We start from the raw sequence: 15,696 nt of genomic DNA on the forward strand, positions 1-15,696 counted from the left end.
CCAGGCGCCCCGACCCATCGGCTGGTCTTGAGGAGAAGCAGGACCGCCCCAGACTGTCGCCGCGGCCGGCAGGGCCGGGCGCTCCGCGGGGAATCTGGGCCGCGGTGCCCTGTGCCCCACTCCGGCAGGACTGGGCTTCCCCGGCTCTTCGAGGGAAGACCGCACAGAGAAGACCCTGGGCACCCCTGTGGCGGGCCGGACCCCGGGAAAGTAGGGCCCCTGCTGCCCCGCGCACTTGGTGGCCAAACACCTCCGGAGCCTGAGGTCTTGGGCCTCCTCTGGCTCTGCGTCCGGGGTTCTCTTCTCTCCCCCAAGGGTTGGCCTTTGGGTCAATCGTCCAGACCCAAGCCAAGCTTGTGTTGGGCAAGGGAGGAATTCCTGGAAAAGGAAAAAGCCCCTGCCACCCTCCGCCCTTCATTCATCTTCCCTGCCACCCACTCTCTCCTTTTCCCTGCTCCTACCCCAACCCTGACCCTCAAGGCCTACCTGGCCAAAGACAACAGCTGCGTTAGTCGCTAGGCCTTGGTGGGACTGAAGGCGGAGGAGCCTGGGCATCTGCTGGGGGAAGGCCGCACTAGACTGCAAGTCCTGGGTAGAAGCCCTCCCCATCTTGGGCCAGCTCTCTTCTGAGAGCCTCAGTTTCCCTCTCTATGATGCCAAGGGCTTGACTTTGGTGACTTCTGGACAGCCCCGGCATGGTGTCCTGGAGGTGAGCTACAACCTGAAACCCACCTCCTGCTGCCCATCCCTCCTCCAGCCTCCTCTGGCTGACGTCTGCCATGGGTCCGAGAGGAACTGCTCCTGCTTCCTCAGTGTTCTGAGGCTCCTGGCCTGCCTGCCTGCCTGCCCATCTGTCTGGAGCTGTGGGTAAGAGCGGGCCCACCATTGAGGCAGGGGCAGAAAAGAGCCTCTCTGCTTTATTTGCTGTGTTTTCTGGAGAATCTTCCTTGGGGAAACTAAATGAAGGGAAAAGCAGGAGAGGAGCCACCAGATAGCATCCAGGAGGAGAGAACAATGCATTCACCAGCAGGTCCTTTATTCGTTTATACAGAATGTCTGTGTCCAAATATATACCATTTTTCTGTGCATGCGCGTATACCAGTTTCTCCTCATAGCACTGGCGTGAGCATCTCTAGAAGAGTATGGAAGTGTGCAGATAAACCAGACCAGTGCAAGTCAGTATGTGTACACATATATAATAGATTCAACGGTTGCTGTGGGTAAACATCCTTCCCATAATAATTAGTATTTAGCTTCATGGATGTCTGCAAAGGGTGCTCTGTTACACACCCAGCTGCTAGAAGAAAGCCAAACACGGAGCAGGCCTCTATGTGTTTGTTGATTACATGGATTAGTAAACGTATCATCGATCTGAAATGCACATTTTTTTTTTCATTTTAGCAACTGAAACGGAGATGAGATTTACCACTGATGATATTTAATAATTTAGTTTTTTCCCCTCTTAGTGGCTCATAAGCACTGTACCTTATCATAAGTGGCGTCTTAGATCCAGTGAGCCTGTGCAGAGTGCAACTGCGAGGGCTGTGTAATCTTGGGAAAGCTCTCTCTTTTCTTTAAGCTCAGTTTCCTCATGTGTAAGATGTAGATCATAATATCCATGTCAGCGTCCTTGTGAGGATTAGGTGAAAGGAGTGTTTAAAGCACACAGCAGGATGACCGCATACTAAGTGTTCTGTGCATCCTACCAGTCTTTATAATTGTGGTTATGAGTGTCCGTGTTTAAGATTGGAGAAACATGGAATAAATTTGCCTCTCATTAGCGTGCACACTCTGCCCCAAACCCCTTTTTTTGTGGGGGGAGGTGCTGCTCCATCTAGTGAGTGGGGAGATTTTCTAATTCCCACTGGGGTCCTTGTGACCCCAAGCCAAAGCGGACCTTTAGTAAATGTAAATTCTGCATTTCTCTGCTGCCTTCATTTATAGTCAACCCGGTCGGACTAAAAAGAACTACCAGGGCGACCATAACTAAACACTACAGAGCAAGTGCCTCCTTTCCTCGCAGACATTTATTTCTGTGGAAATTCGCCTGTTTGCCATAGTTTGTCTTTTCTTATTTCTTCACTTCCAAACTAAACAGCCCTAATCCGAGCGCATACCTCTCTGTGTGCCAACGTTTCGCCTGTGTCTGTGTCTGCTGCGTATGTAAATACGGGCGAGCCTCTCTGTGGGCAAAGCCATAGGTGTGCATGGTCCTTGTTCCCATAGGCGACATCGGGGTGTGTGATTGCACGTGGGGGTGTGAGGCCTCGCCAGCACCGCCACTCACTGGTCCTGTTCTCGAAACCGGTTCTTTGGAGGCTCAGTTTTTGGTAATTAAGACTAAGGAGTGTTTAAAAAACAGAAGTACATTTTCCTGGAAACCAGCAGTCTTTATTTGCAACTTTTATTGGCAAACCTGGCTGCCAGTAAATACATTCCTTGGCATCTCCCACAATGTAATTCACTGGATGGAGCGGCCTTGCTTTTTCTGTAACGTGTACGTCAATTAAAAGGGCCGCCTGGAAGGAATGCGTAGCGGTGGCTGAAAGCCCCAGTCTCGGGTCACCTCCCTCCACTCCAGGAACAAAAGCGTCCGTGGTCTGTGCCTGGAAGTCTGAGAGGGTCTCCCCGATGGGGCTGTTCCCGCCCGGACCCTGAGGGATGAGAGTTGCAGCCTAGAAAACCAGGTGCCAGGCCCTGCGGGGTCCCACGCGGGCGGCGCGGTCTTCCCCAGGCCTCCTTCTCTGGAGACCCGGTTCCCAGGGGACGCTGTGCGGGGACAGGCGGAGCCGGCCCTTGGAGCCCGGCGCGGGCAGAGGCGCCGCGGAGACAACGCCTCCGACGGCAGGGGGCGCTCGTAGCACGCGCAGTGCGCGGTGCGGGCGCCCAGGACGGCTGCCTGGCCCCGGGTTCCCGAGGCGCGGGACCTGCCGGGGTGAGGTGCCCCCAGCCTGAGAGCCCCAGCCTGGGTCGGCCAAGGGGCCTCCGGGCTTCCACATCGTCCCTTTTTCTGCTGACGCTCGCGGGGAAGCGGCGGGAAGCCTGTGAGGGGCGGCCTGGGAGCAGACGGACCACCAGGTCACCGGCGCGCGCTGCCAGGCGCCGACCCACTCGCGAGGACCAGCGGTTCCCGGAGGCGTCGGCCCTCAGGTCCTCGGGGGAGGCCGGCTGCACCGAGCCGGGTGTCGGCCTTGTCCCTGTCCTGAGAGGTGCAAACACCGGCCCCGGCCCAGGCCCCCGGGGCTCCTGCCCAGAAGGCTCAGAGCTGGGGGCCGACCGCGCCTTACCCGCAGGAGGCCCGGCGGTGCGTCCGCGTTGGTGCCACTCCCCGGCCGGGGTGAGGGACGTCGGAAGGAAGGTCCCAGGGCGCAGGGTTCCGCGAAGGGAGCACTCGGAAGGAAGGCTGGCTGCGGCCCCGGCGCCTGGGTCCGCTGCGGCGCCGGGCCGGAGACCTGGGAACAGCCAGCCACCTGCAAGGTTGCAGCCCACCTCACCCCGCCGGCGGCTCCGGGGCTGTCTGTGGGTCTGTCTCACGGGGCAAAGCCTTTCTTCCCACACCCACAGCCAAGGCGCGTCCGTGCAGGGGCACACGCCTTCTGCTCCAGCCCCAGGAAGGCGCTTTCGCCCTGCAGTCCTCCGACGGCCGGCTCCCGCCGCACCGCGCACCCTGGCTCCGGCAGACTCTGGGGCCTGGGGACTCGCCCACCCTGCGCGGCGCGCCCCCCACATGAGCCGAGGTTGGGAGGCTGCGGGGCCTCTGTCCTCCCAGGCCGTGGAGTGCGGCGGCCGCTCTGAGTCCGCTGGGGACCTGGATGGAGAGAAACTGGGGCTCGTTCGCGCACACATGCACCATTTGTTCTTTCCGATCATCTATCCCTTTACGAATTTTATTTTTATTCCGGATTGTTAATGCAAGACGACAGTTTGAATCTCCATTTACCTCTGCCTGAACACAAGAAGCCCTGAGTCTTTTGAAGCCGGGCACCAAAGTTAAAGATTCACTTCCCGCATTCCCCATGGCCCCCTCTTGCAGCTTAGCTCGGCTCTGAGCCCCCGAAACGCCCTTCGAGGCGGGGGCTTTCCTGCCAAGGGGCGATAGGTGGGCCATCCCGAGGCGGGAACGATCAGGTAGGTGTTGGCTGGCTTTCTCCTGGGTGAGTAGTTAGGGGAACCGCCCCTCCAGGGGACTTAGATGACATTAAATTATCCCATCACACAAACTTCCCGTGGAGGTCTGCCCCCAGGAGGGCAACTATCGGATTAATCCAACCATGTAGACAGGCAATATGGATCACTTTGTCTTTAAAACAATCGAAAACCAAACGCTCTTTTCGTTTATTGTAGAAATTTTTCTACTAAGGACGGGGCTGAATTGGAGGGACTGTGCTGACAAATCCTCTACTTGAAAATCCCCCAGCTAAGGAGTATCTGCCCAAGGTCGCGGCCACCCAGATGTTCGGTCCCCACTCCTTCCTCCGCTGAAAAGTCGCACCGATGACTAACGTTGCCTGCCGGCCTGGTGGTTTGAAAACGAATGCCGGGCATTGATGCAAGGATATCCTCCCCTACCCCTGGGATTCTGGTCTAAGCAAAGGAGGCCGAATGGAGAACTAAGACAATTATCTAAGTAATCTAAAAAGCTCAAAGACATCCCCAAGCGGACCTTGCTCCAGTGGTCTGTGATGGCAGCCTAGTGGACAGTTTTCTAGTGGCCCTCTGGGGTTAATTGCCTTAATCTTCCACTCTGTCTGCCCCAGCAAAGGGAAAGATGCTAAAGCAGCTGTGGACTTGCAGCCTCCCTCCTGTGTGTGCAGAGCCCCCAGGAATCACTGCCCCAGTGCAGCAGGAGAAGCGCCTTCCCTCATGCCCTAAGCCTGCCTTTTCTGTTGTCCCCCAGCTCCTGGGCCAGGTGGAGCCCCCCCTGAAGCTGGTTTCTACCTGCCCTCGCCTCCCCACTGCAGCCCACAGTTCGGCTTTCAGGGCTGAACCCAGAGCCCAGAGGATGGAGAAGCCAGAAAGCGGGGAGGTAAGGGAGAGGGCGTCTAGGCACACCACAGAGGTGATTGGGCTGTGACGGGGACAATCCGCACAACACGAGCTAAGCTCACACCCCTAGGGAGTGATTTTTCCGGACTGCCCCCATCCCAATCTCCACCTCCTCTGCTTTACTTGAAAAAGAAAAAGAAAAAAGAGAGCTCCTTCTGGCTCCTGGTGACCCATATTTAGGACACCATCCCATCCCCCAGCACACACATTCCTACAGTGTCACCTGGTCCCCAATCCGAGCATTTCCTGGAGTGCTCGCCACATTCCCCTTCCTGGTGCTTTTCTATGGTGGGGCCAGGGGAGGCCTTGTTTTGAACATCGCTGTGACGTCACTCCCCCTCCTCCGAGCTAAGCACCCCTCGGTGGGCCCTGGGAATTGTTGCCCGGCCTGCTGGGGAGGGGCGGAGTGTGGGCCCAGGGAGGGTTCCACCAAACATCCATTACCGCTGTCGCCTGCGGGGCCTTCAGGCTGCAAGTACGTGAGGTGTCAGAAAAGAAGCCGAAGGGTTCCCGTGGGGGCTCTTCTGCCAAATGAGTCAAGAGATGTGCGGAAGCGGATGATTGAAGTACCCCGTGGAGTAGCAGAAAGGGGCATCAAAAACTGTAACCTGAAAATAAAAGCTTTAACCTGTTCCCCAAAAGACTTCATGCCTGCGTCTTAATGTTCAAATAACACCACTAACAACAAAAATGAAATAAGAAAAGTGCTTGAAATACAATCAAGCCGCTTACTGGAGGCTTGCTTCCGAGTAAGTTTATAAAACACAAATGCAAATATCTTTTCCTGGCGAATATCCAGAGCTAAACCAGTGGAAAGTTGATCTTGATAAAACTACGTCCCTCCATTTTTTCTCGCACGCCAGACACTAATTTCACAACGGCGACTTTTATACCCAAAACGGAGAGCTGAGAACACCGCTGCAGGTCGATTTGCAATTTACATAACAAGCTGTTTACACTTCACTGGGCCGATGGAGGGAGGAGGCAGGGAAGAGCAGGAGGCGACAGGCTGGTGGGGGAGGGGGCAGCGGGGCACCATTGCCTGTTGCAAAACTCGGGGCCGAAGGCGTTTCCCGCATTCGGAAAACAAAGCATCCGTAATCGCTGCGTTCATCTCCGCGCACCGCTAGCAGTGTAAAAGGCAGCTTCAAGACCGAACTCACCACTTGCTGAGGTGTTCAGGGAGACCACTTAAATCTCCTCCAGGCTGAAGCCACAGCACTCCTTAAAGCCTCGACCAGGCGGGCTGATAAGACCTTCAGGGTGCCGGGCTGGGGGCTGAACAGGAATTAAGTGTTCAGGTCCTGGGGCTTCACCACCACCCTCGCCCCTGTCTAGTGTCCTTGGCAACCAGCAAGTGCTGAGCCTCCTGTTGGTGCTTCTCCAACCCACCAGTGACTTGGCCCGCAAACCACCTGGAAAAGGAGTCTCCAGAGACCCCGGCGCACAGCAGGCCAGGAGGCAGCTGCCCCGGGATTCAGAGCAACCTCGGGGCAACCCTCCCTCCTCCAAAGGCTAATTCTAGAAGAGGCAGGTCCTCTTTCCTTCGATGTCAATGTCCATTATGAAACAGTAATTTTTAAATATTCAGGTGACACGGAGATGCGCCTGCTACACGTCAGCGTCCTTCACATGTAACAGCCGAAGCTGCAATTTGAATTTTCCTGCCAACGTGAGGAAGCCGGGATTCGAACCGGGGAGACAAAAGGGGTCCCGAACATGTCCTTGGATTTAATAGATGGTCGGAAATCAGGGGCAGCGGAGCTGTTAAATGCGTCACGCACGCTTCTTCGCAGTCTCCTGAGCTCGCCACTTCCCCCAGCTTCTAGTGAACGACTTGGGATTCAGCCTCCGGGAGGGTCTCTCCTCAAGTCGCTAAAATGCAGAATCGCCGTGCCGGGGGAGGGAGGCCTGGCTCTTTCCCGCTCCTTCGTTTCTTTCCCTCATTTCTCTTCTTCCTGTCCCATTCCAACCACCCAGCGACGGCGAATCTCAGGCGTGTGCACAACGAGCGGGGGCCCTTCCGTGCGTGTCCCCCCAGAATCCTTGAACCGCCCTCTAGGTGCGACCCTGGACGTTCCCCCAGACACACCCGTTGTCTCTGCGAGCCGGCAGCCCCGCGCATGTGGAGATGGAGACTGGCCTGGGGAAGCGTTAAGCTCTTAGACATATTTATTTGCTTCTTGTCATCACACCTGCTAATGTCACCGAGCCCGCAGCCTGACCCCTCATCTGAGCCGAAACGGGCCTGACGGGATCAGAGGGGGCGGCGGCGCGGCGAGCCGGTGGGACCCTCGCGGGCGGGCAGGGGAGCGCGGGGCAGCAGCCGGGCTCCGGCAGCCCTCGCCGCCCGCACCCTCAGGCCGCCAAGGGCCGGCCCCCCGGGGAGGGGGGCGAGAAGCAGGGCGGCCCGCAGCGGGGCGGGCTCATCCTTCGCGGGTGAACGGCCGTCGGAAACTCCCAGCAGGGCCCCGCACCCCTTGCCTTCATTTCGGCTGGGGAGGGGTCATGGAGGGGGGCCAGATGGGCGACGAACCTTCTTCCCCACCGCGAGCAGGGCCTGGCTGTGACCGAGCCCTCAAAATCATGTCCTTTGTAGCCGAGTTCAGGACAGGAGAACCTCCAAGTGGAGAAAAGCCGGAGACGTCAGTGACCCGAGTGAGACTGGCGTTGGAGAAGGGAGGGAAGGGGCTGCGGGAGGGGAGAGGCGGCGGGGAGGAGAGGCTGGGGCAACCCCAGCGCTGGCGTCGGCGGGGCTGGCGAAGGAATGAGAGCGAGCCAGCACGAGGCGGGGCGGAGACGCCAGGGCCACTCGGGAGCCGTGGGCGAAGGAAGGGTCTGCACGGGGTCCCGGGAGGACCCAGGAAGTCTGCGCGAACGGCGGGCGTGGGTCCGGAGGGCCCGGGGTGGGAGGTCTGCCGGGCGCCGGCGGCAGGCAGGTGGACTGCGGGGGGCGAACCGACGGCGGGCCGGGCGCCGGCGCGGGCGCAGGGCCGGGGCCCGGGCCAGGGCGGCCGGCGCGCGTGTGGTCAGCCCCGCGGTCCTCCGGCCTCCGGGAGCGGGCCGGCAGGGCTCGGCCTCCGGCTCATTCGGAGGCGGTTCTCACCTCCCATTGGCTGCCGCCGCTGGCGGGGCGGGGCTCCGCTGCCCGGAAAAAAGTGTAACTGCGTAAAAAAGTCCTCGCCTGGGTGACGGATGCTCAAAAGTTCAGAAGTTTTCCCAATGCTTCCTTAAGCGGCTGGCGCGCGAGAGACCGAGAAAAGGTGACGCGGGGCCCGGGCAGGCGGCCGGCGCGCGGCCCCCCCCCCCCCCGCCCTGGTTATTTGGCCGCCTTCGCCGGCAGCTCAGGGCAGAGTCTCCTGGAAGGCGCAGGCAGTGTGGCGAGAAGGGCGCCTGCTTGTTCTTTCTTTTTGTCTGCTTTCCCCCGTTTGCGCCTGGAAGCTGCGCCGCGAGTTCCTGCAAGGCGGTCTGCCGCGGCCGGGCCCGGCCTTCTCCCCTCGCAGCGACCCCGCCTCGCGGCCGCGCGGGCCCCGAGGTAGCCCGAGGCGCCGGAGGAGCCAGCCCCAGCGAGCGCCGGGAGAGGCGGCAGCGCAGCCGGACGCACAGCGCAGCGGGCCGGCACCAGCTCGGCCGGGCCCGGACTCGGACTCGGCGGCCGGCGCGGCGCGGCCCGGCCCGAGCGAGGGTGGGGGGCGGCGGGCGGCGCGGGGCGGCGGCGAGCGGGGGCCATGCAGGCGCGCTACTCCGTGTCCAGCCCCAACTCCCTGGGAGTGGTGCCCTACCTCGGCGGCGAGCAGAGCTACTACCGCGCGGCGGCCGCGGCGGCCGGGGGCGGCTACACCGCCATGCCGGCCCCCATGAGCGTGTACTCGCACCCTGCGCACGCCGAGCAGTACCCGGGCGGCATGGCCCGCGCCTACGGGCCCTACACGCCGCAGCCGCAGCCCAAGGACATGGTGAAGCCGCCCTATAGCTACATCGCGCTCATCACCATGGCCATCCAGAACGCCCCGGACAAGAAGATCACCCTGAACGGCATCTACCAGTTCATCATGGACCGCTTCCCCTTCTACCGGGACAACAAGCAGGGCTGGCAGAACAGCATCCGCCACAACCTCTCGCTCAACGAGTGCTTCGTCAAGGTGCCGCGCGACGACAAGAAGCCGGGCAAGGGCAGCTACTGGACGCTGGACCCGGACTCCTACAACATGTTCGAGAACGGCAGCTTCCTGCGGCGGCGGCGGCGCTTCAAGAAGAAGGACGCGGTGAAGGACAAGGAGGAGAAGGACAGGCTGCACCTCAAGGAGCCGCCCCCGCCCGGCCGCCAGCCCCCGCCCGCGCCGCCGGAGCAGGCCGACGGCAACGCGCCCGGTCCGCAGCCGCCGCCCGTGCGCATCCAGGACATCAAGACCGAGAACGGTACGTGCCCCTCGCCGCCCCAGCCCCTGTCCCCGGCCGCCGCCCTGGGCAGCGGCAGCGCCGCCGCGGTGCCCAAGATCGAGAGCCCCGACAGCAGCAGCAGCAGCCTGTCCAGCGGGAGCAGCCCCCCGGGCAGCCTGCCGTCGGCGCGGCCGCTCAGCCTGGACGGTGCGGATTCCGCGCCGCCGCCGCCCGCGCCCTCCGCCCCGCCGCCGCACCATAGCCAGGGCTTCAGCGTGGACAACATCATGACGTCGCTGCGGGGGTCGCCGCAGAGCGCGGCCGCGGAGCTCAGCTCCGGCCTTCTGGCCTCGGCGGCCGCGTCCTCGCGCGCGGGGATCGCACCCCCGCTGGCGCTCGGCGCCTACTCGCCCGGCCAGAGCTCCCTCTACAGCTCCCCCTGCAGCCAGACCTCCAGCGCGGGCAGCTCGGGCGGCGGCGGCGGCGGCGCGGGGGCCGCGGGGGGCGCGGGCGGCGCCGGGACCTACCACTGCAACCTGCAAGCCATGAGCCTGTACGCGGCCGGCGAGCGCGGGGGCCACTTGCAGGGCGCGCCCGGGGGCGCGGGCGGCTCGGCCGTGGACGACCCCCTGCCCGACTACTCTCTGCCTCCGGTCACCAGCAGCAGCTCGTCGTCCCTGAGTCACGGCGGCGGCGGCGGCGGCGGCGGGGGAGGCCAGGAGGCCGGCCACCACCCTGCGGCCCACCAAGGCCGCCTCACCTCGTGGTACCTGAACCAGGCGGGCGGAGACCTGGGCCACTTGGCGAGCGCGGCGGCGGCGGCGGCGGCCGCAGGCTACCCGGGCCAGCAGCAGAACTTCCACTCGGTGCGGGAGATGTTCGAGTCACAGAGGATCGGCTTGAACAACTCTCCAGTGAACGGGAATAGTAGCTGTCAAATGGCCTTCCCTTCCAGCCAGTCTCTGTACCGCACGTCCGGAGCTTTCGTCTACGACTGTAGCAAGTTTTGACACACCCTCAAAGCCGAACTAAATCGAACCCCAAAGCAGGAAAAGCTAAAGGAACCCATCAAGGCAAAATCGAAACTAAAAAAAAAAAATCCAATTAAAAAAAACCCCTGAGAATATTCACCACACCAGCGAACAGAATATCCCTCCAAAAATTCAGCTCACCAGCACCAGCACGAAGAAAACTCTATTTTCTTAACCGATTAATTCAGAGCCACCTCCACTTTGCCTTGTCTAAATAAACAAACCCGTAAACTGTTTTATACAGAGACAGCAAAATCTTGGTTTATTAAAGGACAGTGTTACTCCAGATAACACGTAAGTTTCTTCTTGCTTTTCAGAGACCTGCTTTCCCCTCCTCCCGTCTCCCCTCTCTTGCCTTCTTCCTTGCCTCTCACCTGTAAGATATTATTTTATCCTATGTTGAAGGGAGGGGGAAAGTCCCCGTTTATGAAAGTCGCTTTCTTTTTATTCATGGACTTGTTTTAAAATGTAAATTGCAACATAGTAATTTATTTTTAATTTGTAGTTGGATGTCGTGGACCAAACGCCAGAAAGTGTTCCCAAAACCTGACGTTAAATTGCCTGAAACTTTAAATTGTGCTTTTTTTCTCATTATAAAAAGGGAAACTGTATTAATCTTATTCTATCCTCTTTTCTTTCTTTTTGTTGAACATATTCATTGTTTGTTTATTAATAAATTACCATTCAGTTTGAATGAGACCTATATGTCTGGATACTTTAATAGAGCTTTAATTATTACGAAAAAAGATTTCAGAGATAAAACACTAGAAGTTACCTATTCTCCACCTAAATCTCTGAAAAATGGAGAAACCCTCTGACTAGTCCATGTCAAATTTTACTAAAAGTCTTTTTGTTTAGATTTATTTTCCTGCAGCATCTTCTGCAAAATGTACTATATAGTCAGCTTGCTTTGAGGCTAGTAAAAAGATATTTTTCTAAACAGATTGGAGTTGGCATATAAACAAATACGTTTTCTCACTAATGACAGTCCATGATTCGGAAATTTTAAGCCCATGAATCAGCCGCGGTCTTACCACGGTGATGCCTGTGTGCCGAGAGATGGGACTGTGCGGCCAGATATGCACAGATAAATATTTGGCTTGTGTATTCCATATAAAATTGCAGTGCATATTATACATCCCTGTGAGCCAGATGCTGAATAGATATTTTCCTATTATTTCAGTCCTTTATAAAAGGAAAAATAAACCAGTTTTTAAATGTATGTATATAATTCTCCCCCATTTACAATCCTTCATGTATTACATAGAAGGATTGCTTTTTTAAAAATATACTGCGGGTTGGAAAGGGATATTTAATCTTTGAGAAACTATTTTAGAAAATATGTTTGTAGAACAATTATTTTTGAAAAAGATTTAAAGCAATAACAAGAAGGAAGGCGAGAGGAGCAGAACATTTTGGTCTAGGGTGGTTTCTTTTTAAACCATTTTTTCTTGTTAATTTACAGTTAAACCTAGGGGACAATCCGGATTGGCCCTCCCCCTTTTGTAAATAACCCAGGAAATGTAATAAATTCATTATCTTAGGGTGATCTGCCCTGCCAATCAGACTTTGGGGAGATGGCGATTTGATTACAGACGTTCGGGGGGGTGGGGGGCTTGCAGTTTGTTTTGGAGATAATACAGTTTCCTGCTATCTGCCGCTCCTATCTAGAGGCAACACTTAAGCAGTAATTGCTGTTGCTTGTTGTCAAAATTTGATCATTGTTAAAGGATTGCTGCAAATAAATACACTTTAATTTCAGTCAAAAACTGCTCTACGTGGCCTGTGATTCGCTCGGTCCCCTCCCCCAGGGTCGTAACCTAATCGCCGGGAAGATCGCAGCGGCGCTGGCGCGGGTGTCTCCTCGGGGCAGGCGGGCTGGGGGTGGCCTCACGGCCCCGTTTAAATCTCGCTGGGCTGTCGCGGCGCTAGGTCCCGGGGCTGCCTCCAGCTTCCTCGGGTTACAGCCTCTTTCGGGGCGGGGGAAGGGGAGGGGGTGACGGTAGAGACTCCACCGCCAGTCTCCAGGAGTTTGGTGTGATCGCTCCACTTTGGGGAGCCCGGCGAGGAGCTGGGATTTGCGGACAAAGGGCCCGCGGCCGGAGCTGGGGTGTCGAGGCCCGGAAGGGGAGCTGCAGCAGGTGACTCACGGCCCTGTCCCCACGGGCGGGCTGGCCCAGCCCGAGGCGGAGCAGCTCGGCCGCCGGAGACGGTACCGTTCTCGACGTGTCCGGTCGGACTCTGTGGAGTAGGGGGTGGCGGGTGGAGACCCGCGCGGCCCACGCCTGGCTTTCCGGCTGGGGCGTTTCTCGCAGGCCCGGTCCCTTCCGAGTCGCGCCCGCCCCGACGCCGGCCTCCTGGACGCCGCTCGCGACGGCAACGCTCTCCAGCTAATGAGCTGTAATTACCCGCGGCGGCGCGGGGCCCGGCTTCGGTTTGCGTTTGGAGCTCCTTCCTCCCCACACCCCCCTCCCCAGATTAGCCCCGGCCTCCGCGGCCTCCTCCTGAAATTAGTCGTTGGAGAAAAGCGAGTCAAAGGGAGACCCCTGTTAGTTTCGCTGGGTTCCTCGCGGGCTGGGTCGGGGTGCCGGGAAGCGCGCGCTGAGGGAGGGTGGCAGGCGCGCGGTGCCGGGGACGGGGACGGGGCGGGGGGCGCCGAGCCGGGAGAAGCGCCCTCGGGGCTCCGGCCGAGAAGCTCGGAGGAGCCCGCTCCCTCGCCCGGTCACCCCGCGTCTCCGCCTGGCGCCGCAGGGCCCCGCCGAGCTCTCACTTCCTCCTCGCTGGCCTCCTTTGTTGTGAAGACGCACGTGTGTTTAGGAGCGCAGCTGGGGTGGAAAGGTCAGAGGCACTTCATTGCTCACGGGTGACAGCTCGCCCCGCGCCGGCCCGCAGCCTCCAGGCGCGGGACCCGGAGCTGCGCGTTTGCAGGGCCACCCCCGGCCCACCCGCCTCGGCCTGGCCGCACCAGACCTGCCCGGGCCGGCGCTGCGGCCCCAGGCGGCCTCCCCGGCAGGGCTGCGTCCTCGCGCGGTGTGTGAGGTTTGCAGAGGCCACCAGTCGCTTGGCAGTGGCCGTGCGGGGAGTCGCTCGGCCTCAAGGATGCCAGAAGCCCTCGGGCGAGCTGCAGGCTCAGCGTGTTCCGAGCCCACGTGCCTGCGACTCTCCACTCTCCTTGGGTCTCGGCTTTGCGGCCCGGAGGAGGTGGCGGCCGCAGTCAGCCCCGGCCTAGGCCCAGGTCGGCAGTGGAAAGCTCGGCGGGCTTTTCTGCACCGTTCCCAGCGGCGGGAGCGAGCTGGGAAAGAGTCGACCCGCTCCCGGCTGGGGGCCCTGCCGAGTCTGGCCTGCCGAGGAGTGGGCCGAGAGCAGCCCCTGTCCTTCCTTGCGGGGCTCCAGTCCCAGCTGCAGGAGAGGAAGCGGGTACGGGGCGAAGCGCGGTGCTTCGGTTTCCGTGGCCAGCGAGGAGCCCCTGGCCCACAGGTCGAGAGTGTTTATAGGCGTGCGCGAGCAAAGCTTCTTAGCAACTTGCTTTACCCTCTTCTATTCGAATGTTTGAAAATTAGGCATGAAACACACATGTGTCTAAGAAGGTGTTTGTGTTAAACATACATGACGTAGTCATTTCTGCACTCGTTGCCTGTGCAAGTTTAGAAGCTATGTTGAGTGGAAGGAGAGAAGTTCTGCTCATTATTCGGATTTTAAAAACCACATCTAGGTAATGTCTCCTACTATCAGTACATTACCTTTTCGATTCTCACACCCGATTTAAGAAAACCAACTTCTGCCAACCTTATTTAACGTGGCACTACTTATTCCTTAGAGGTTTGCACGTTTGGTTTGTACTGTTTTAGGAATAAGGATAATTTTCCTGTGAAATATTCTAAGAAAAACTCCTTGATAGTTTAACTAATAGCCAGTACATTTTGAAATTAGCCTGTGACAGCAGTCCAGATCCATGGCGGGGAATCAGCTAATTTTTAAAATAGCCTCTGTAAAAAGCTTTAGGAGAGTAAGTATTTTGTCCTTTATGCAGAAATGGGCACATTTATTTTAATAGCAATTTATGCCACGACTACACAAATGCCAGCATGCCACATGCCATAGGCAGTCTTGCATTTGGCATGTTGCACGTGTGGGAGGGACCGGTGCTGACTTCTCCAGGGTTGTGTAGTTAGCAGACCTTTTTCTCCAGACTGAGTGCAAACAAGCATGCATTTTACAATTTATTATTCCACAAAATTTGTGTCATTAATAATCGATGCTTGCAAAGGAATAGGGCTCGATTGTACTGGTGGCCTGTAAGCTCCTGGCTGTTTCCTGCCGGGTCAGAAACAAGGGTCAGGAAACAAGAGTGCCTTATAGTCCTATTGGGCTCTCCCTAACTTTGATAGGCGAGGAAAGGACATAGGGCAGGGGTCTCCGTTTCTAAGGCGGAATGTCATTAGTTTTGTTCTTAATGGTGCAAAACCCAAGAGACTCTGAACCCTCTGCAGGTGGAGGCTGCCTGGACAGATTGCCCAGGAGGGACAAGAGGTATCCATACTTGATCAGGCCTCAGGCACCCACACCAGTGTTCTCTGAGGCTGTTAGTGGCACCCAAAGCAAGGCCAGTTGGAGTGACAGTTTCCCTCTACTCCTGCCCCACCTCTGAGAGCTCTGTGAGAGGGGCTCTCATTTGCGAGGCCACCCCCCCCTCCCCCAACCCCGGCCATTTGCTTCAGAGCTTAGCTCCGAGTCCCCTGCTCCTTGGGCCTGCCTGGTATTGCAGGGCCTTCTCCACTACAGGCATTTCATGGACAGTTCATGAAGCCATTAGCCCTTCCCACCCGTCATAAACAAATGTCGTGTTAGGGGCAAGATTGATGGTGGCCAAGTCATAAAGCTGGCCAGGCAGGACAGAATATGATTGTGTGCGGGCAGCCATTCTTCAGCCAAGCAGAGAGATTGGGGTGTAGGACCAAGAGACTGTGTCAGTCTTCCCCCCACCCATCTGAGGGGGGAGCTCAGGAGAGCTCCCGACAGGGAAGTTTAATTTATTCTGACAACGTCCACTTAGGCAGGAAGAGAAACCCACTGAGATTTGCCATGGGGCCCTAAATGCCAGCTTCAGAAAGCCCACTTTCTGAAATCTTCTATTTCCATTTATAACAAAGCCAAAAGTTTCCCTGCAAAGAGCTTTTATTATTGATGCTTTCCCTCCCACCTTAACCGAATGTCTTCCTTTGCAGCTGGGGCTCTGTCT

General features: G+C 58.0%; 1 protein-coding gene and 1 long non-coding RNA gene across 2 annotated transcripts, besides 9 other annotated features; both read left to right on the top strand.

Annotated features, from left to right (window-relative positions):
* Positions 2,579-2,998: a silencer, noted in NCBI's record as "silent region_16822". NCBI's record gives its function as "represses an Ori minimal core promoter by ATAC-STARR-seq in GM12878 lymphoblastoid cells {active_cell/tissue: GM12878}" and the evidence as "EXISTENCE:reporter gene assay evidence [ECO:0000049][PMID:35858748]".
* Positions 3,049-3,118: a silencer, noted in NCBI's record as "silent region_16823". NCBI's record gives its function as "represses an Ori minimal core promoter by ATAC-STARR-seq in GM12878 lymphoblastoid cells {active_cell/tissue: GM12878}" and the evidence as "EXISTENCE:reporter gene assay evidence [ECO:0000049][PMID:35858748]".
* On the top strand, positions 3,860-5,687 carry FOXCUT (FOXC1 upstream transcript). The gene is made up of 2 exons (NR_125804.1): positions 3,860-4,128; positions 4,345-5,687. It is a non-coding gene; the product is annotated as an FOXC1 upstream transcript (long non-coding RNA).
* Positions 4,420-4,920: an enhancer, noted in NCBI's record as "H3K4me1 hESC enhancer chr6:1606326-1606826 (GRCh37/hg19 assembly coordinates)". NCBI's record gives its function as "activates a minimal SCP1, AML or CMV promoter by ChIP-STARR-seq in naive H9 embryonic stem cells {active_cell/tissue: H9 hESC(naive)}" and the evidence as "EXISTENCE:reporter gene assay evidence [ECO:0000049][PMID:30033119]".
* Positions 4,921-5,421: an enhancer, noted in NCBI's record as "H3K4me1 hESC enhancer chr6:1606827-1607327 (GRCh37/hg19 assembly coordinates)". NCBI's record gives its function as "activates a minimal SCP1, AML or CMV promoter by ChIP-STARR-seq in naive and primed H9 embryonic stem cells {active_cell/tissue: H9 hESC(naive and primed)}" and the evidence as "EXISTENCE:reporter gene assay evidence [ECO:0000049][PMID:30033119]".
* Positions 5,779-6,288: an enhancer, noted in NCBI's record as "OCT4-NANOG-H3K4me1 hESC enhancer chr6:1607685-1608194 (GRCh37/hg19 assembly coordinates)". NCBI's record gives its function as "activates a minimal SCP1, AML or CMV promoter by ChIP-STARR-seq in naive H9 embryonic stem cells {active_cell/tissue: H9 hESC(naive)}" and the evidence as "EXISTENCE:reporter gene assay evidence [ECO:0000049][PMID:30033119]".
* Positions 8,052-8,671: a silencer, noted in NCBI's record as "silent region_16824". NCBI's record gives its function as "represses an Ori minimal core promoter by ATAC-STARR-seq in GM12878 lymphoblastoid cells {active_cell/tissue: GM12878}" and the evidence as "EXISTENCE:reporter gene assay evidence [ECO:0000049][PMID:35858748]".
* Positions 8,244-12,226, top strand: FOXC1 (forkhead box C1). The gene has a single exon (NM_001453.3). It carries the CDS (start codon positions 8,775-8,777, stop codon positions 10,434-10,436), a length of 1,662 nt encoding a protein of 553 aa, NP_001444.2. The 5' UTR covers positions 8,244-8,774; the 3' UTR covers positions 10,437-12,226.
* Positions 9,002-9,101: an enhancer, noted in NCBI's record as "active region_23864". NCBI's record gives its function as "activates an Ori minimal core promoter by ATAC-STARR-seq in GM12878 lymphoblastoid cells {active_cell/tissue: GM12878}" and the evidence as "EXISTENCE:reporter gene assay evidence [ECO:0000049][PMID:35858748]".
* Positions 11,956-12,573: an enhancer, noted in NCBI's record as "NANOG-H3K27ac-H3K4me1 hESC enhancer chr6:1613862-1614479 (GRCh37/hg19 assembly coordinates)". NCBI's record gives its function as "activates a minimal SCP1, AML or CMV promoter by ChIP-STARR-seq in naive H9 embryonic stem cells {active_cell/tissue: H9 hESC(naive)}" and the evidence as "EXISTENCE:reporter gene assay evidence [ECO:0000049][PMID:30033119]".
* Positions 12,574-13,190: an enhancer, noted in NCBI's record as "H3K27ac-H3K4me1 hESC enhancer chr6:1614480-1615096 (GRCh37/hg19 assembly coordinates)". NCBI's record gives its function as "activates a minimal SCP1, AML or CMV promoter by ChIP-STARR-seq in naive H9 embryonic stem cells {active_cell/tissue: H9 hESC(naive)}" and the evidence as "EXISTENCE:reporter gene assay evidence [ECO:0000049][PMID:30033119]".

Source organism: Homo sapiens, chromosome 6, assembly GCF_000001405.40.
Source record: "Homo sapiens chromosome 6, GRCh38.p14 Primary Assembly".
Classification (NCBI taxonomy): Eukaryota; Metazoa; Chordata; class Mammalia; order Primates; family Hominidae; genus Homo; species Homo sapiens.